This window comes from Homo sapiens, chromosome 10 (assembly GCF_000001405.40).
Source record: "Homo sapiens chromosome 10, GRCh38.p14 Primary Assembly".
Taxonomy (NCBI): domain Eukaryota; kingdom Metazoa; phylum Chordata; class Mammalia; order Primates; family Hominidae; genus Homo; species Homo sapiens.
The window spans coordinates 63,227,453-63,249,491 of NC_000010.11; the positions used below are offsets into that span (position 1 = coordinate 63,227,453).

The window sequence follows — 22,039 nt, forward strand, 5'->3', positions numbered from 1 at the left end:
CTGATGTCTAGAGTAGCACTTTCATTTTAGGATAAAAGAAATATCACAAAACTGCAGCAGTTTCTCCTCCTTTGGACAATTTCTGATAGATAATGACTGAATGCTCACTTTCAAATTGATACTGATATGTGTGGCTTATTAATGGAATGATTTTCCCCTCTGCTATAAAACCCTTGACCTTTGTGGTAACATCCAGTGTGCTTTCTTAAATTCCATTCCATGACATAAATTTCTCCATAAAAACCATCTTTGATAGTATAAGAGTTACCATAAAAGCAATTATTTTGTATCCTGAACATCAGATTAGGTGATTGAACATGTTTTGCCATACCAGTTTCGCCAGTCATAAATTCATGGTTTAGCAAAACTACAAATAGTTGCTTGTTCTTAGATCCCTGAGATTGCTGGCAACAGTTTTAAAACGTGAATGTTAAGTCCACAAGAGTGACATTAATTTTTACCACACCACATCTTTTTAACTTATACAAGAATCCATTTTGCTAATAAGGATTTGCTGGGACAAGAAATATATAAAGTTTGAAAGTTGCTACAGGGGTGCTCAAAAAGCAAAGCTGTCTATACCACCTGCAGTTAACTAAATGAAGGTACCGCTGAAGGCTTCCATGTATTTTCATGAATTATAATAAGGGCTAGCAAACATTTTTTGTAAATGGCCAGAAAGTTAATATATTAGGCTTTATGGGCCATACCAGTTGTCACAACTACTCAACCCTGCTGTTACAGCAGAAAAGTAGCTAAAAAAATACCATAAAAATACATAAATGAATGAGCATGGCTATGTTCCAATAAATGTTTCTATATTAGCATTCTATGAAATTTGAATTTCATAGAATGTTTAGGTGTTATGACATATTCTTCTTTTTGAGTTTTTTTCAACTGTTTAAAAATCTAAAAGTAACTGGACACAGTGGCTTGTACCTCTAATCCTAGCTACTCAGGAGGCTGAGGTGGGAGGATCCCTTATGCCCAGAAGTTCAAAGCTACAGTGAGGTATGATCACTGTAGTCACTGTACTCCACCCTGGGTGACAGAGGGAGATCCTGTCTCTAAAAAAATTAAAAAGGAAAAGATAAAAACAAGAAGCAGGCTGGATTAGCTTGTAGGTACAGTTTGCCTTTTCCTAATTAAAAACAACAAAACAGAACAACCAGTATGAAGCAAGATTAAAAACTTCTACATCAATGTATCAAATACAATTTTAAATATACTAATGCAATTTGATCTAACTGACTGCAAACTCTTATTTCCACAAATGCTTGAAATATATACAATCAGGAGCACAGGAAATTAAATCAATACCAAATCCTTTTCACCAGTAAAGACAAAAATATCTTAAGGTAAATACATTATTTAAACTTTCACAAGTAAATGAGTTTCCCTGATTTATTCTGGACAATGCTTAGCCTTCCAAATATAACAATATACTTGATTTTAATGTACATAATTTAGGAAAAATTATCTAATTTGCAAGATAAGATTTCCTCCATTAGGTCAATGACTATTACATTCAGAGATTGGAATCATCATCTTCTCTGGGCTCTCAAGTAAAGTAAAAATGAGAATATGCATTAAAAAGTAAGAGATATTATAAAGATAGTCTACCTGATTTATTAAGGACACGATAGATTAATCTCTTAAGCTCTCTATGTAGGTGTGTGTGTGTCTGAGTACATATAAATATAAATAAATACTTTTTTAAAAAAAAGGAAACATATTAAAAGATTTCACATAATTAAAAGCAAGGGGTAATTAAGTCTCCGTATACAAAATTTCATCATTTGATTAGCTGTGGTTAATTCAGACGTCTAGAATCCAGACTATCATTTAAACTAAAGCAATAAAATGTCTATCTTTCCAAAACGTAATTATACATAAAGATTCGGATGGGGCTACTCTGGGCACACTGCCTACAGGGTAGCCCTGCTCCATGAGCAGCAGTTTAAAAAAAAACAAACAAAAAAACAGATTAAGATGGTAGGAAGAAATAGGACAACAATTTATACTATCCATGTAATTATTTTCTCATTCATACAATCAAGAAGATAATATAAAATATGCTTAGTCTTTCTAAATTATTTACATTCTGCAACTAGATGAGACAAATTTAGTTTCTGAATAGAATTGATGAAAGGAGTAAATATAATAAAACTCTATTTTCATTTATTGTAACTGGAAATAGTCTAGAAATGGAAGTGACATTCAGAAAATCAGAATGATGTTTAGATTTATTTTTTTATTGGCTAAAAAAGGATTGTTGTACCAGGGGAAAACAGCAAACACCAACATTTTAATCTGTTATAATTATTACATTTTTGCATTCCAATAATATTCTTTGCATTCGAGTTTTATTTTTATTTAGAAACAAAACAAAGTGATGAATGACTGTGATCCCACACTGATCTAAAGAAAGCAATTTCAGTAAAAGGCTATTTTAAAAAACCCAAAATAGGTTTAGGTTTTTTTCCTAAAAATTAACATACTGGTAAGCATATTCATCAGATATGGAGGCCTAAGTGGAATTGGTAACTTGAAGTGAACCTTAAAGACAATGTCTAGCATGTCCACGGGCAAATCATTAAATTTGGCATTAAGTCTGTCTACACATAAAATGAAAATAAGCTGGGTGCAGTGGCTCATGCCTATAATCCCAGCACTTTGGGAGGCTGAGGTGGGCAGATCACCTGAGATCAGGAGTTCGAGACCAGCCTGGCCAACATGGTGAACCCTGTCTCTATTACAAATACAAGAATTAGTCGAGCATGGTGGCGCTTGCCTGTAATCCCAGCTACTCAGGAGGCTGAGGCAGGAGAATCCGTTGAACCTGGGAGGCAGAGGCTGCAGTGAGCTGAGATCAAGCCACTGCACTCCAGCCTGGGCAACAGAGCAAAGACTCTGTTTCGAAAAAATTCCACCACTTCTTTACCCTGCACTTTTTACAAGTTTTGAATACCATTCATTTTCACAGCATCAACATTTAATCATAAGAATTTAAGAAACATATTAACTTGTATAATATGCAGAAGGCTCCACAAACATAAGAGCTAAATGTTTTGTCCATTTCATAAAATGGTAACTGTAAATACAATTGGAGCTTTAAGTTGCATTCACAATGGTAGTTACTTAAACCCTGGCTCTATTAAAATTACAAAAACTTAGCTGGGTGTGGTGGCACACACTTGTAATCCCAGCTACTTGAGAGGCTGAGGCATGAGAATCACTTGAACCCAGCAAGCAGAAATTGCAGTGAGACAAGATCATGTTACTGTACTCCAGCCTAGGTGACAGAGTGAGACTGTCCCCCCCCCCAAAAAAAATAAATAAAAAATAAAATTTGACCACCACATATTGCCACAAAATTGTCTCCAAATGCTAGTGGGAGAAAGGAGGCTTTCTACCACACAAGGTTAATGCAATGTTATTTCAAAATATTTCTAACATAATTCTGAGTCTGTATTGTCAATTTTGGTGATGTGATTCTGTACAACACATAATATAATAAAATCTAAAAATTACCAGATTTATCATCATTGTTAAGTTTTTAAGTTGTAAGCAGAATTTTAAATTATTATAACTTTTAAGGAACCTCTTGATTCTCTGTATACATTCCAAACATGAATATTTTAGAGCCAAGCACTTGGGACACTATTTACACACCAACACTCCCCCCTCAAGAAAAAACCTTAAACTATGCAAGCAAGATCTTAATGCACACAAATCAGAATTAAGCTGGTAGTACAGGATTCACTCAACTGTGATCCTAAATTTCTGTGATTACTTTGATTTTCTAAATAAGATGGGAAAACTGTCAGTTTAGAGAACAGAACTGACTTCAACGGCAATTAAGCCCAGCTTTTTACAAAGCAAGCTTTAGAAGCAATGACTTACTGCAATTAGCCTGGTGGCCTTAAGAATTTCCTGCCAAACACAATCAAAAACACTGATTAGTTATAGAAATCAATGAGCAAGCCCGAGATCTGTATGGAATCAAATGGTGGCAGGGCCTATACAGGAACTGCAAGTATATAAAACAAGGAAATAGGCCGGGCACAGTGGCTCATGCCTGTAATTCCAGCACTTTGGGAGGCCACGGCGGGCAGATCACTTGAAGTCAGGAGTTCGAGATCAGCCTGAGCAACATGGTGAAACTCCGTCTCTACTAAAAACACATAAATTAGTTGAACATGGTGGCACACACCTGTAATCCTAGCTACTCAGGAGGCTGAGACAGGAGAATCGCTTGAATCCAGAAGGCGGAGGTTGTGGTGCACCAATATTGTGCCATTGTATTCCAGCCTAGGCGACAGAGCGAGACTCCGTCTAAAAAAATATAAAATAAAATAAAACAAGAAAATAGACTATCTCCTTTACTCTTTTTTTCCTCTAGACAGAGTCTCGCTCTTGTCACTCAGGCTGGAGTGCAATGGTGTGATCACAGCTCACTGCAGCCTCCGTCTCCTGGGTTCAAGCAATTCTCCTGCCTCAGCCTCCTGAGTAGCTGGGATTACAGGCACTGCCACCATGCCCAGCTAATTTTTTGTATTTTTAGTAGAGATGAGGTTTCACCATGTTGGCCAGGCTGGTCTTGAATTCCTGACCTCATGTGATCCACCTGCCTCGGCCTCCCAAAGTGTTGGAATTACAGGCGTGAGCCACAGCACCCGGTCTCCTTTACCCTTAAGGGCTTATTTTCATACTGCTTCTTCTAAAGTTTTTTTTTTGTCATAGTCTTAACAATCATCTTCTCAATATATTACTATAATGTGAAGTCATCCCCTTTCTGGAACACGTTCATCTTTTCAAAGTTGTCCTGATTAAAAAACCACTGATCTTTTAAAATTGTTTAAAAGTTTCAGAAAAGAAATTTTATTAAGCCCATGAATGTTAAAAATTTTTTAAAACTGCATCTGGTCCTTTACAATGACAACATAATTTACTTTTATCTATGAAAAGAAATGAAAAATGTAAAACTGATACTGGTTAATAATTCATTTCAGAGAGAATGAGTATAGCTAAAACCTGCAGCTTGATCCAAGAATATTAACTGTTATGAAGGAAAAAAATTCCATAGTCCTAAGAAATCTACCTAGAAGTTTGCTGTTGCTATAAGCAACCCACTGTTATATATCCAGATATTTCAGGGATCTCTCCTTGGAACATCCATTTGGCATTGCTTGCAACTACTTATATCATTAATTACTAAGGAGGAAATGATAAAGTTTAAGAGAAGTATATGTCATGAGAAATTATGAAATGGTAAAAGGGTTCTGAATTTTAAAGTCTCAAGATTTTAACATTTTATGTACAAAGTTCTATGATGTTTCTATGGACTCATGATTTTTCAAATTAAAATATGATTACATGAAATAACATTCCTGTGTCATTTTCATTATTTGGTATATATAAATTCACCATTAAATTAATTTCAAAGTTCATTTTCTGTTTACTTTTAAATTTTTCCTCTGTTCAAATTTTTAGCAAACCACAATTCTTGGGAACTCAAATGTTACTGCAAACTTCATTTAAAGTGAAAAAGAAAACTACAATGCTGTCTAATTCCACTGAATATTTTAAGTTATTCTCTCTCAGTTAATTTTGACATTCTGATCTAGAAAAGTGACTCTGACCTGAAGGCTTTCACAAAAATTATCAATACAAAAACAAACAAGCAAACACACTACAATTTAATGGAATCTCAAGGCTGAAAAGGTTGCCACAATTTTAGTTAATCCTTTATAGTTAAAAATGTGTCCAATTAACCTGCATAGTCTAAAATATGCTCAACTGAGCACCACTGTTTTCAAACTCTTCACAGCATATTAATAACCTGATTTACTTCTTAAGCATATTTCCCTAAGGATAAAAGAGTATAGTCATTTTAACTCTTAGAAAAGCACTGTCTGTAACATTAGCACTGATAAAATTAGACTTAAAAAAAAATTTTAAACTTCATGTCTAACAACACCCAAAAAAACAAATCTCAAATTATAATCACATTAAAACACACCAGGCAAACAAAACAGAATTAATGACAAATACAAGGGTATTTTAATATAATTGTTTTCATTATATTCGTCAGAATTTATGTCCTGGAATTAAAATATCCCCCAAATGAAATCTACTTAAGCAATGGGATACAGCCTTAAAAATATTTTATCTTGGCTCAAATGATCACAAACAGAACCATAAAAACATTCCTTTTACTTTTCCAACTAGAAAGATTTTATATATATATGTATCTCCATATATACATATTATATATATATATATATCCACACACGCGCGTGCACACACACACACACACACACACACACCACCACCAGGATATATAACAGATATTACCAGTAATTTCTTTAGCTGAGTTATGAATAATCTACTTTGCTATGCTTTTATGTATTTTTCTGGAAGTTTTTTATTTTGCAATGACCATGTTTTGCTTTTATAATGAGAAAAAGAAACATTTAAGATGAAAAAGACTGATGCCAACAATTTATTCACAGTAATACTAATTTCCTTTGTTACAAAGTTTCAACAAAAAATGCAATATAATCTGACAGTTAAATATGATAAGCATACTCCATAGAAACCTAGCTAATTTAGAAATTTTGTTGGTAATGATAACAGAGTAAAATGAAAATACTCTTTGCATTCTTTTAAATACTCACATTAAAAGGTGGACTTAATCACTTGAGATCCAGAGTTACGAGAAGTCTAGCATGGGTAACATGACAGACTCTTGTTTAGAGTCTCTTGAAAACAAACAAAATGTAATCACAGCACTTTGGGAGGCTGAGGCAGGTGAAACGCTGAGCCCAGAGTTTGAGACCAGCCTGGGCAACATGGCGAGACCCTGTTTCTACAAGAAATACAAAAATTAGGCAGGTGTTATGGTGCATGCCTGTAGTCCCAGCTACTTGAGAGGCTGAAGTGGGAGGATTGCTTGAGCATGGGAGGTAGAGGCTGCAGTGAGCCACGATCGCACCACTGCACTCCAGCCTCATCAACAGAGAGAAACCTCCTCTTAAAAAAAAAAAAAAAAAAAAAAAAAAAACACCAAAAACAAAAACCTTCCCTATCCTATAAAAAAAAACCTTTTAATATGTTAATACTTAAATTTTTAGATTTGCTAAAAATATCGTTAAAGGCCTATAAAAAGAACGAGTTATTTAATGCAATATTAAGCTGGGCATGGTGGTTCACGCTTGTAATCCTAGCACTTTGGGAGGCCAAGGCGGGAGGATCACTTGAGGTCAGGAGTTCAAGACTAACCTAGGAAACATAGTGAGACCCTGTCTCTATTTAAAATAATAATAATAAAATAAAAAATAACAATGCTATTCTATTAGTACGACATTGATTGTACCAGGTATTACTCAAATGAAATTCTTATAAAACCTTTGCTAGTCATAAAAATAAAAATTTAATTCTGTAATACATTTTTTATGAACTAAGTCATAAAATTCAAATTTAACTTAGCTAGAGGGCATACATTTTCTTTACTTAACAGATGTGGTATACAGAAACATATCACATAGTATGTATCTGATGATTAATGTTCTAGGAAAAAAACAGTAATACAACATACACATTTAAGAAACAGACTTGTAACTTAGAAAGCACCAGGTAAAATAAATTTTGTATTTATTTTAAAAACTTGATGCAGCGTTTCAGATACTGTGCTAGAAGACTAAATGCCTTATTCTATAAGTATTTTGCCAATATAAATAGCAATTTAAGAAAATCAGCCGGGCACGGTGGCTCATGCCTGTAATCCCAGCACTTTGGAAGGCTGAGGCAGGTGGATCGCCTGAGGTCACGAGTTCGAGACCAGCCTGGCCAACACAGTGAAACCCCATCGCTCCTAAAAATACAAAAAATTAGCTGGGTGTGGTGGCAAGCGCCTGTAATCCCAGCTATCAGGGAGGATGAGGCAGGAGAACTGCTTGAACCCGCGAGGCAGAGGTTGCAGTGAGCCGAGGTTGTGCCATTGCACTCCAGCCTGGGCAGCAAGAACAAAACTTGGTCTCAAAAAAAGAAAGAAAGAAAGAAAATCAGCATGAACACAAAACCAAAATTCAGTCAATTCCCTATTATTCAGAAAGATTATTTATCTATTTAACAGTTAAGCATATTTACTTGCCACTGTAAATTAAAAGATTTTTTAAATTGTCACAAGAGAAGCACTTTCACAAAGATTAACCTCATTTAATCCTAACAATACCTCTGCTATTTTGATATTATTAGGTAATTTCTCCAAAATCACACAGCTAGAAGGCAAATCAGCAAAGGTCTGTCTAATGTCAAAGCACTTCCCACATACCCTTTTCCCCATCCATGCGCTTGCATAATCAAAATTTTGCATGCTCTCTGCTAGGTTTTCAATAACTTACCTACATTATTAGGAATATGGTCACATAAAAAGGAAGATGACCCAATTTATCCAATCATTTTATTGTTATTTTTAAAAACAGAAAATGACGTAGCTAAATTAAAACCAGGTTAGAAGAATATGGTATTCCAAGACTAGAAATGGATATCATAAATAGATTATATAATTTATGAAAATCCTCAAGAGTAATTTTGGAATTGGATATACTATCTTAATATACATGTCCTATTACATCAAATCACAACAAACAACTGTGTATCTTGCTTTATCTATTCGGTTACAGCAATATTACATTAACAGCTATTAACTAGCTTTTTTATTAATTAAAAATAACTACTAATAGGGTTTCTTGGTTGATCACCCAACTGAAACCTATCTTTCATAACAATATTCCCTTGAATAAACTTGATCCAGACCTGTAATATTCCTGCATTTTAACTACAATTTGCTAAGTGTCATTGGTATAAGGTCCGCTCCTCTCAGAATAACCAGAGTAAAAAAATCAGATAAATTAAGAAAACATTATAAAACCACTTGAAGAAAAATGTGTTTTCTTCTAAAGCCACATGTTAATATTCTTTGTGATACTTTTAATAATAGTTTTGAACTTTTTATGGCAGTTCAAAAGTCTGGAAGGCAGTTTTTCTTTCAAGCTATTTATTGGCATGACTTTTACACAGTTGAGTCATCATGAGTTTAACCTACTGAGTCACCTGCTTACAGCATCTGCCAACCACAATTTACTAACTGCAGCTTCCTCAAACTTAAACTGAAACAAACTCAGGAAGGCCTGGGAACTGTTTAATATTTTCCAAAGTAGTAACTGAAAATATTCCTCCAGCACAACCCAAGCTTTAAGAAGTAAAAAATTCCTGGGAAGCTGGGGAGGGAGGTCAACAACAAAAAAGAAGTAAAATTATATACTTGTATAAAGTATTCTACTGAAAATTCCTGTGCACAAACTAATACTGAGGCTGGGCATGGTGGCTCATGCCTGTAATACCAGCACTTTGAGAAGCTGAGGCAGGAAGATCATTTGAGGCCAGGTGTTCAAGACCAGCCTGGGAAACAGAGAGACCCTGTCTCTAAATATATATTTAAAAACAACTAATATTGAAATAGTATACATATACATCGTGTCAATGATTGATTCATACAGAACAAACACTGTTTTTGTTTTGTTTTGTTTTGTTTTTTTAAGACATCTTGCTCTTGTCCCCCAGGCTGGAGTGCAATGGCGCAATCTCGGCCCACTGCAACCTCCGCTTCCCAGGTTCAAGTGATTCTCCTGCCTCAGCCTCCCGAGTAGCTGGGATTACAGGTGCCTGCCACCATGCCCAGCTAATTTCTGTATTTTTAGTAGAGACAGGGTTTCACCATGTTGCCCAGGCTGGCCTCAAACTCCTGACCTCCGGTGATCTGCCCGCCTTGGCCTCCCAAAGAGCTGGGATTACAGGCGTGAGCCACTGTGCCTCGCCAAACACTCACTAAAAATTTTTTTTTAATATACAGTGCAATGAATGTAACTTCCAAATTAATACCACATCGAAGTTTTTTGGGCTGATTTTCACTTTTAGCATATAGTGCTATGGAAATGATGAATCTATAAATGAACTATAGTACCATACTTCTATTTTCTCAGAAAGAACGAATACAATCCAGTACAAATTGGAATGATCAGCAAGACTTGCTAGACTTGCCCAGTGACTTAGTCTTTTATGACACCTATTTGAGTCCATCCACTTCCTTCACTGAGGTCTTTGTAGAGCAATTACAAATACAGGTTGTATCCAAAATGCTTGGAGTCAGAAGTGTTTCAGATTTCAGATTTTTAAAAATTCTGTAACATTTGCATTACGCTTAGTAGTTGAGCACACATAATTAGAAAATCTGAAATCCAAAATGCTCCAATGAGCACTTCCTTTGAGTGTTTCAGATTCTGGGGTTTTTCAGATTTTAGATTTTTGGATTAGGGATACTCAACCTGTACATAAGAAATGTGTTAAATTACACAAAAAGAAAAAAAGGCGGCCAGGCACAGTGGCTCATGCCTGTAATCCTAGCACTTTGGGAGACCAAGGTGAGCAGATCACAAGGTCAAAACTTAGAGACCAGCCTGGCCAACACAGTGAAACCCCGTCTCTACTAAAAAAAAAAAAAAAAAAAAAAAAAAAAGCCGGGTATGGAGGCAGGTGCCTGTAATCCCAGCTACTTGGGAGGCTGAGGCATGAGAATCGCTTGAACCTGGGAGGTGGAGGTTGCAGCAAGCCAAGATTGTGCCACTGCACTCCAGCCTGGGTGACAGTGTGAGACTCCATCTCAAAAAAAAAAAAAAAGAAAAAAAGGAAGGAAGCTATAACTAAAATTCCAATGTATCATAATAGAAAAGCACATTAGCCACCTAGAATTTTTAAGGAAGGTATTATCCATAGTACTCTTTACGATGCCTTTCAGCATTTTTTTTTTACTGCTCCTAGAAAGTTTAACGTATTTAGAAAATTTAATTTAAAAAAGGGAAGAGAACATAAACTGAATGAAGCATATTAAATGCTTATTATAGTTTATCTTTAAAAAAGGAGTTTATATAACATAATTTGCTGAAATTCTATTAATTTTGAATAAAAATATTTAGAGTTCCTTCATGAAATAACATACTGAACATAAGGTCTTTAAATTAATACTCATGGTTATCTTTATATTATGATGCAGTTATAATCGATGTAAACTGTAACCTCTATAACAAATTGTTCCAGAAAGACAAAATTTTAGTTGTAACTGTTTTTTAGTTCTTCCATAACCTCATGCTGTCAAGCTGCCAATCTACCATCACCACTTTTTAAAGTGTTGGCTTCTCATATGCTATGGTAAGGGAAACTAGATTTGACAGCTTGTTGGAATTATGTTTGAAATAGTCTAAGTGTGGGACTAGGAGGCTCTCATTACTAAAATTTATTAGGAATATATTTCATTCAACAAGATTTTGAACACCTGGTATCAATTACTGTGCCAAGGCACTGGCAATATATCTAAGACAAAGTTCCTGACCTCAAGGATCTTACAATCCAGTGGAATTGAGACAGACACACAAATACGATACAGATTAAAGTATCTTTGTATCCTCTAGGATACAAAGGTGAGACAAAATGGGTTGGCGGGTGACCTAGTTAGGTGTGTCAGGAAAGGATTTACAGAGAAGGAAATATTTGAGTTGAGACTCAAGAAAAGTATGAAACCAAGGTTTTTGAGTTGGAACTTCAAAACTGCAAGGGCATCTGCCAGATAATAAGAGATCAGAAAAGAAGGTCTTTCAGACAGAGGAAAATTCATACGCAAGAATAGATGGGTGAAACAATATGGAATATAGGGACAAGTACACTGGTATGGATTGAATTAAGGACAGCAGAGTAGGTGAGGAAGAAAACTGAAAGACTGTAGTTTGGAGTGTTCTGTAATAGTCTAGGCGGGTAAGGATGGGAGCCTTACGATAGAGGAGAAGGGACAGATTAAGCAAAGTTAAAGAGGCAGAATTAGTAATTCTGGGAGACTAATATGTAAGGGCAAGAGAGAGACCTAAAACATTCCTACATGTTGATTTTTTTTTTGAGACTTGCGTCTCGCTCTGTCACCCAGGCTGGAGTGCTGTGGCACAATCTTGGCTCACTGCAACCTCCGTTTCCTGGGTTCAAGCAATTCTCCTGCCTCAGCCTCCTGAGTAGCTGGGACTACAGGCATGTGCCACCACACACGGCTAATTTTTGTATTTTTAGTAGAAACGGGGGTTTTGCCATGTTGGCCAGGATGGTCTCAAACTCTTGACCTCAGGTGATCCACCCACCTTGGCCTCCTAAGTGCTGGGATTATAGGCGTGAGCCACCGCTCCTGGCCCTACATGTTGATTTAAGTGACAAACTGGCATAGATGTGATTGATCTCATTAGCTGGGATACAGAATGATCAGGAAGAAAAACGAAATCAAGGTCTGATGGTTGAATGTGAATACAGTAAATAGACAGCAGAAGACATGGGTTTCACCTTTTCAATGATATCTACTCTGAACATTCTATTAAATATCTGCTTCTCCCCTCCCCAATCCTTATTGATCTTACACTGCTTTACATTTTCATTTTGTCATCGCATTTATTACATTGTATATCACACTATATAAGTTACTTATTACACTTATTATCTACCTGGCCTCTCCAGAATTTTAACTCCATGGGGGCAGGAAATTTTGTATGAATACTGCCTGGCACAGAGAAGATGCTTAGTAAACAGTTATTAAATAATGGTAGAGCAGAGAGGTCTGGAGTTTTGGATTCAGAAGACAGGGTTTTAAAAGACAGTGGAAATGTGACACGGCTTAGGGTGAGTAGTGAAATGGAAAAAACCAAAAAGGAACACTACAGAAAATAAGGAGCACTACAAAAAAAAATCACATAAACACTAAATCTTCTACAGAGAGAACAAACATACAGCAAAGACTGATTAAAAAAATAGGAAAACCTGAAGAGAAGTATCAGAGTAGCAACAGGAACAAAGAATTTCCAAAAGGACAGTGATCCAGTGTTAAATGCAAAGGTTCAGTAGGACAGTGATGCACACTTGAATATTAAATGCAGTAACTAAGAGATGATTAGCCATCTTAGCAACATCAGTTTTGTGAAGTGGAGGAAGAAACCAGGCTGCAATAACTGAAGATATTATTGGGAAGCAAGAAAATATAGATATAACGGTTCACATTATAAGAAGTCCAGCTATGAAGGAAAGGAGTAAGATAAGGCCATAACCAGACTGGGTGTGATAACTTTTAGTTTTTTATATTAGAGGGTTGAGTTTATATAATGAAAAGAAAAGCAATGAAAGAAAAATAGGCTTAAGATTTGGTAAACTTAGAAAAGTATCTGTGAAGACAGGTTCTAGAATACAAAAGATATTAGCTTTTTAAAACATAAGGCAGAGAGAGGAACAATTCCAAACGACTACAAAACACAATAAATTGAGTATATGACCAGCGGGATATCTCCTAAGGATAAAAAGAACTGGAACAAAAAAATACACTGTTTTCAGCAATTATACCATTGGTGGTAACCTTAGTATTGTTATTCTAAGTCTAGTGGTTACATAATGTAAGACAAAGCAAATGAGTAAGCCTATGATACTCTTATCATTCCTGGTGTTGCTGAGAAGTGGCGGTATTATAAAACATAAGTACTGTGAATGAGACTCGACTATAGAGCTAGACTGTTTTAATTTATGCACATACACACACACTTAGAAATTTAGGGGCAAAATAATACAGTGTGTGGGATCTGCTTTGAAATACGGATGCTCGACTTATGAAGGGGTTACATCCAGATAAACCCATCCTAAACTGAAAATATTAAGTTGAAAGCTCAGGAACATACTGAATGCTCCTTTTTCACCCTTGTGAAGTCAAAAAGTCCTAAGTCAAACTATCATACATAGGGGAATATCTATGACAGAAGACGAGCAGTAAAGTGAAACAATACTGGCCACAAATCGATAATTGTTAAAGCTGCATGCTACATGGAAGCACATTTTACTATTCTATAACTACATAGGTTTAAAATTATTTATATAAGGGAAAAAGTTTTATCATATTACTTTTCTGCTCAAAATGCTTCAAAGGCTTTCACTCCAAGCTTAATCAGAATAAAAAATAAAGTCTTTATAATAGCCTAAAAAGCCCAATTTAATTTACCCTTATAGCCTTTCTACATCATTTTCTACTAATTTTCACATAGTATGTTATTTTTTCAATCTTCTTGCTTTAGGGCCTATCCATTTTCTGTTACAACTGACACTTCCTGTCACTTTCCAGGCTTTACTTTTCTCCATAGTACTACTGTCTTCTAATATGCTAAACAGTTATTTTGTTTGCCATCTGTCTTTTCCCACAAGAAGGTAAGTTATAGGAGGCAACAAATTTTTGTTTTGTTTTGTTCATGGCTGTACCCTAAATACCTAAAGTAGTACCTGAGATGTAGCAGGTATCTAATACATATTTGTAAAACTGAAGTAGTAGAAGTTAAAACAGACACATCTCTAAGACAAGAGGAAAGCAGGTAAGGAGAGGTACAAAAATAGATATGAGAACAGGAAGCTAACGGGGTTCCTGCTTATAACCTCAATTTCCTTTGTGCAACAGGAGAAAGATCATCTATTAAGAGAAAAGGAGGAAGCTGAGTAAAGTAGTGATAATTTGGAATAATTACTTTAGGAAACAGAAGTTCACAGGGGCATGCGAAAAGAATGCCAAATGATATACTAAGGGCTAGGGTGATACTGGAGACAATACAATGGTACCAAAATACATGGATGTCATTTTCTGTGCAGTATTCAGCATTTAGAGGCTAAGTGGTTGAGAAGAATTTTCTACAGCATAAATGGTATATACATGCACTGTCCCACATACGATTATCTGGGCACTTGAAATGTGACCTGCACGACTGAAGAACTTTTTTAAAATTTAGTTTTATTTAATTTACGTTTAAATAGCCACATATGACTAGTAGCTACCAATAACGGACACAGCAGGTTTAGGATACATGAAAAAAGCAGGCCGGGCGTAGTGGCTCATACCTGTAATCCCAGCACTTTGGGAGGCCAAGGTGGGTGGATCATCTGAGGTCAGGAGTCTGACACCAGCCTGGCCAACATGGTGAAACAAACCCTGTCTCTTCTAAAAATACAAAAATTAGCTGGGCATGGTGGCACATGCCTGCAGTCCCAGCAACTTGAAAGGCTGAGGCAGGAGAATCACTTGAACCCAGGACGCGGAGGTTGCAGTGAAGCGAGACCACGCCACTGCACTCCAGCCTGGGCAACAGAGCGAGACTCTGTCTCAAAAACAAAAACAGATTACTTTTCTAATGAGTCTCTTGAAAGCACACAGAACAGAAACTGAGATTTACCCAAACAGACCTATTTATTTTCTTAACTCTGACCATATATATTCTCCTTATTAAAAAAAATTTAGAGTACAAAGTGTTTTCATATATATTACCTCATAGACAATGGCAATGATATCATACCTATTTTATAGATAAAAATAAAAATTTAAGTGGTTAAGTGGTTATATGCCTTTCATAGCATTTCAGATAGTAAGCAACAAAATTGGGAATGGAGTCCAAGATGGACTGTTGTTCTATTGCCAATTTCTGAGACTTTTAACAGATGTAAACTTTGACTTCTCTCAAAGAGCCAAAATACACTAACATAAATTATATATATATATATATATATAAATATATATATGGCTAGATAGGTATCTTTCAACAAAATCTCAATAGAATTTAGTAACTTATTCTACAATTGTTGTGAGCTGATTCTGGTTCTCTCTATATCTTAAAATTTGATTAATTTGGCCAGGCGTGGTGGCTCACGCCTGTAATCCTAGCACTTTGGGAGGCTGAGGTGGGAGTATCACCTGAGGTCGGGAGCTCGGGACCAGCCTGACCAACATGGAGAAGCCCCATCTCTACCAAAAATACAAAATTAGCCAGGCATGGTGGTGCATGCCTGTAATCCCAGCTACTTGGGAGGCTGAGGCAGAAGAATCGCTTGAACCTGGGAAGCGGAAGTTGCGCTGAGCCGAGATCACGCCATTGCACTCCAGCATGGGCAAGAAGAGCAAAATTCTGTCTCAAAAAAAATTTTTTTTCACTAATTTGTAAGCAACTTCTGATTTTAAATAATATTAGCAATAAATCAGTTCTCGAAGTTCTTGGTACAAAGGCAGAAATACCCACCTTGTACCACCAGCCAAATTAAATTGATAAAAAATACAAGTACAGACTTCCAGTTCCAAAATGACAATGTTTGGGTTCACTCCCCTCAGTAGAAAACAAAAAAGAAATACACAATGCTGAGATTATCACCAATAACATCCCAGACCTCAAATATGAGAGGGAGACAGTCCTGGGGCCACAGAGAAGTGAAAAAACCAGAAGCAGATAATAAGAGAATTGGACTTTCTATTTATTTATTTTGAGAGAGAATCTCACTTTCTATCTGCAGTGCCCCTCCCAGCAATCTGCCCAGGACCACACTTTCCCACCAACTTATGGTTTCTACAACACTGGAAAAAGTAAGATCAAGGTGGACAACCAGCTTCCCTACCACCTGGGGTTTTCTGGCAGGAGATCTATCCCTGCCTCAACTGACAGGAAGCATCAGGAACACCCAAAGGGAGAAATATCCCTGAGGACAGCCAGAAACAAAGGAAGCAGAGAAGGACTACCATCCCCAGTCCTGGAAACTCTGCTCCATAAATTAGACAAAGGAGATGCCATATCAGAGTGGCAGTTCAGCAGCACCATGCTGTGGAGATTAGTTCCACAGGTACCCGAGGCACAAACCCCTAGCTAGTCTTCGCACTACCAGGATATTCTCCACTTTGGGACCACTGCAATTTGGGACTCCTGGCACTCCTGACTGTTTACTAGAACCAAGGCAAATCTGGGCTTAAGATGTCATTTAGTGCCGAAAAGGAGGCAGCAAACTACTGGGGAAAACAAGAAAGGTAAATTATTTAAAAAGTCTAAGCAAAAATATCTAATTAAAGCCAAAACACGCCAGTCAGAGAAGTCTAGAATAACCAATCCTTCAATGCAAAGACATAGACATACATCCAAAAGAAACAACAGCAAACAGGGAATCATGACATACCCAAATAAAGCAAGAAAACAGTGATTGACCCTAACAAGGTGGCACTGTGTGAACTCTTAAATGAAAAATTCAAAACAGCTGTTTTAAGAAAACAGAGTGATCTCCAAGATAACACAGAAAAGCAATTCATAAATTTATCAAAATCAGCCGGGGTGGTGGTGCGCACCTATCGTCCTCAAGAGACTGAGGCTGCAGTGAGCTACAATCACGCCACTGCATTCCACATCACCCTGGGTGACAGAGCAACACTCCTTCTCTTAAAAAAAAAGGGGGGGGGAGGGGGGAGAACAATTAAAAGAAATTAAGGCTGGGTGCGGTGGCTCACGCCTGTAATCCCAGCACTTTGGGAGGCCAAGGCAGCCGGATCACTTGTGGTCAGGAGTTCGAGACCAGCCTGACCAACATGGTGAAACCCCACTTCTACTAAAAATACAAAAAGTAGCTGGGCATGGTGGCAGGTGCCTGTAATCCTAGCTATTCGGGAGGCTGAGGCATGAGAACCTGAACCCAAGAGGTGGAGCTTGCAGTGAGCAGAGATCGTGCCACTGCACTCCAGCCTGGGCAACAGAGTGAGACTCTGTCTCAAAAAAAAAAAAAAAAAAAAAAAAGAGAGATTAAAAAAAATTATGAGAGAAATTTAACAAAGAGATTGAAATAACAATTTTTTAAAACCAAATAAAAACCTTAGAATTGAGAAACATATTTTCTGAGCCAAATATTTCATTAGAGGCTGTATTATTAGTCTGTTTTCACACGGCTGATAAAGATATACCCCAGACTGGGCAATTTACAAAAGAAAAAGATTTAATAGACTTACAGTTCCACATGGCTAGGGAGGCCTCACAATTATGGCAGAAGGCAAGGAGGAGCAAGTCATGTTTCACATGGATAGCAGCAGGCAAAGAGAGGGAGCTTCTGCAGGGGAACTCTTTTTTTTTTTTTTTTTTTTTGAGATGAAGTCTTGCTCTTGTCCCCCAGGCTGGACTGCAGTGGCGGGATCTCAGCTCACTGCAATCTCTGCCTCCCAGGTTCAAGCAATTCTCCTGCCTCAGCCTCCCAAGTAGCTGGGATTACAGGCACCTGCCACCACGCCTGGCTAATTTTTGTATTTTTAGTAGAGAGGAGGTTTCACCATGTTGGCCAGGCTGGTCTCGAACTCTTGACCTCAGGTGATCCTCCTGCCTTGGCCTCCCAAAGTGCTGGGATTACAGGCGTGAGCCACCAGCCCGGCCGGGAACTCCTCTCTTTAAAGCCATCAGATCTCGTGAGACTTATTCACTATCACAAGAACAGACACACTCCAGTGATTCAATCACCTCCCACTGGGACCCTCCCAGGACATGTGGGAACTGTGGGAGTTACAATTCAAGATGAGATTTGGGTGGGGACACATGCAAACATATCAGAGACTTTCAACAACAGAATGAAGAGAGGAAAGAATCAGTGAGCTCAAAGATAGGCTATTTAAGAATCCTGTCAGAGAAGAAAAAAACAACAATGAAAAGAAATGAAGATAACCTAAAAGACATATACAAAATTACCTAAAAAGACCAAATCTAAGAATTATTGGTATTTAAGAGGAAGTGGAGAAACAGCAGAAAGTGGAAAGCAATAATAACAGAAAACTTTTCAAAACTTGAGAAGGAGATAAAATCCAGGTAAAGGAAGGTCAGACATACCAAACAGATGTGACCCAAATAAGACTACCCCAAGGCATATATAATAATCAGACTCTCAAAAGGTCAAAAACGAAGAGAGGATCCTAAAAGAAGCATGAGAAAAGTAAAAACATAGAGATTCAATTTGGCTCCCAACAGACTTCTCAATGGAAATCATACAGGTAAGAAGGGAGGGCGACAACATTTTCAAAGTGATGAAAATAAAAATAAAAAACAAAACAAAACAAAAACACTGACATGCAAGAATACTGTCTCTAGCAAAGCTATACTTCAAATAAAATGGAGAGAGAATTTTTTTTTCCTAAGAAACAAAACCTGAGAGAATTTATCACCACCAGACTCATCTTACAGGAATGTAAGATATAAGTTCTTCAATCAGAAAGAAAAACAAATAATGTACAAAAAAGAAAATATTTAAAAATATAAAAGCTACTGGTAAAATCAAATACACAGACAATACAATGCCATGAAACAAGCCTCAACAAATTCAAAAAAGCGAAAATCATACGGCAAACTGTCTTTTCTGACCACAACAGAATAAACCTAGAAATCAGTAGCAAGGGAAACCTCTGAAAACACACAAATACATGGAAATTAAACAACATGCTCCTGAACAACGAATAGGTCAATAAAGAAACTTAATTAAATTTTTTTTAATTTCTTGAAAAAAATGAAAACCAAACACAAAATCTACGGGATTTGGCAAAAGCGATACTAAGAGGAAAGTTTACAGCAATAAACATCTATATTTAAAAAGTAGACTTCAAATATACAACGCAACAATGCACTCCAAGGAACTACAAAAGAACAAACTAAATCCAAAATTAGTAGTAAGAGGGACATAATAAAAGTGAGAACGGAAATAAACTGAGACAAAAAAAACAAAAACAAAAACAAAAAAACAAAAAACAGAAGAAAATTTTAAAAAAATGAAAAGCTGGATTTTGAAAAGATAGATAAAATCAATAAATATTTAGCTAGACTGAGGAAAAAAAGGAGAAGACCCAAATAAATTAGAAATGGAAAAAAAAGATATAGCTGAGACCTCAGAAATACAAAGACTCATTAGAGACTACTATCAACAACTATACAAGCTAACAAATTGAAAAACCCAGAAAAATGGATAAATTCATGGACACACAACCTACCAAAATTGAACCAGGAAAGAAAAGAAAACCTCAACAAACCAGTAACAAATAATGGAATCAAAGCCTTAATTAAAAATCTCCCAGCCAGGCATGGTGGCTCAAACCTGTAATCCCAACACTTTGAAAGGACAAAGAAGGTGGATCACTTGAGCCCAGGAGTTCAAGACCAGCCTGGCCAACATGGTGAAACCCTGCCTCTACAAAACATACAAAATGTATGGTTGTGCATGCCTGTAGTCCCAGCTACTTGGAGGTTGAGGCAGGAGAATTGCTTGGGCCAGAGAGGCGAAGACTGCAGTGAGCCAAGACTGAGCCACCGCACACCAGCCTGGGTGACAGAGCCAAAAAAAAAAAAAAAAAAAGAAACAAAAACCTTGCATCTTTTCCCATTTCTTTTCCAAAGAAAAGTCCAGGATCTAATGACTTTACTACTGAATTCTATATGAATCATACTCAAATGCATAAAACAAAACAAAACAAAACAAAACAAACAAAGAAGAGGAGGGAATACTTCCAAACTCATTCCTTGAGGCCAGTATTACCCAGACACAACAAAAAAAGGAAACTATAGGCCTGGTACAGTGGCTCATGACTGTAATCCTAGCACTGTGGGAAGCCGAGGTAGTGGATCACTTAAGGTCAGGAGTCTGAGACCAGCCTGGCCAACATGGTGAAACCCTGTCTCTACTAAAAATACAGAAATTAGCTGGGTGTGGTGGCGGGCGCCTGTATCCCAGCCACTCAGGACGCTGAAGCAGTATATTTTACCACAATTAAACATTTTTATTAAAAAATTTAGCAGAAGGCCAGGCACGGTGTTTCACACCTGTAATCCCAGCACTTTGGGAGGCCGAGGCAGGTGGATCACAAGGTCAGGAGATCGAGACCAGCCTGACCAACATGGTGGTCAAGTTGCTAACACAGGGAAGTTTTTCAAACCCCAAAGAAAAAGCAACCAACATGGTGAAACCCTGTCTCTACTAAAAATACAAAAATTAGCTGGGCGTGGTGGCAGGTGCCTGTAAACCCAGCTACCCCGGAAGCCGAGGCAGGAGAATCACTTGAATCCGGGAGGCAGAGGTTGCAGTGAGCTCAGATTGTGCCACTGTACTCCAGCCTGGGCAACAGAATGAGACCTCATCTCAATAGATAGATAAATAAATAAATAAATAAATAAATAAATAAATAAATGACAGGGAATAATGATGGACACTGTTGAATATGTGGGAAAAGGGGAACCTGTACGCTGTTGGTGGAAATGTAAATTAGTAGCGTTATTGTGAAAAACAACATGGAAACTTCTCAGAAAACTAAAAATATAACTATGATCCAGCAGTTCCACTACTGGATATACATCCAAAAGAAATAAAATCAATATATCAAAGAGATAGCTGCATTTCTATGTTTACTGCAGCACTATACACAATAGCCAAAATATGGACTCCACCTAAGTGCTCATCAATGGACGAATGATATAGGAAATGTGGTATACGTACATAATGAATATTGTCCTGGCCATAAAAAGAATGAAAACTTGTTATGTGCCACAACATGGATGGAAGTGGAGGTTATTACGTTAAATGAAATAAGCGAAGGACAGGAAGACAAATGATCACATGTTGTCACTGATATGTGGGAGGTTAACAAGTGGATGCTTGGCCAGGAGTGGTGGCTCACGCCTGTAATCCCAGCACTTTGGGAGGCCAAGGCGGGTGGATCACCTGAGGTCAGGAGTTCAAGACCAGACTGACCAGCATGATAAAACCCTGTCTCTACTAAAAATACAAAAATTAGCTGGACATGGTGGTAAGCGCCTGTAATCCCAGCTACTCAGAAGGCTGAGGCAGGAGAATCGTTTGAACCTGGGAGGCAGAGGTTGCAGTCAGGTGAGGTTGCACCATTGCACTTCAGCCTGGGTGACACAGTGAGACTCCGTCTCAAGAAAAAACAAAACAACAACAACAAAAAGCAGATGCTTAAAGATAGACAGTAGATTGGTGGTTACCAGAGACCTGTTAGGGTTGGGGGAGGGAGGATGAAAAGAGTTTGATTAATGGATATAAATATACAATTCAACAGAATAAATAAGACCTATGGTTTATAGATCAGTAGGGT

At 37.2% G+C, this 22,039-nt stretch overlaps 1 protein-coding gene across 15 annotated transcripts in view, besides 1 other annotated feature; it reads right to left on the reverse strand.

The window, feature by feature from the left end:
- Nucleotides 1-22,039, reverse strand: part of JMJD1C (jumonji domain containing 1C) — a 354,666-nt gene that overhangs the window by 60,228 nt on the left and 272,399 nt on the right. The window lies entirely within an intron of this gene.
- Nucleotides 13,274-13,810: an enhancer, noted in NCBI's record as "NANOG hESC enhancer chr10:65000486-65001022 (GRCh37/hg19 assembly coordinates)". NCBI's record gives its function as "activates a minimal SCP1, AML or CMV promoter by ChIP-STARR-seq in naive H9 embryonic stem cells {active_cell/tissue: H9 hESC(naive)}" and the evidence as "EXISTENCE:reporter gene assay evidence [ECO:0000049][PMID:30033119]".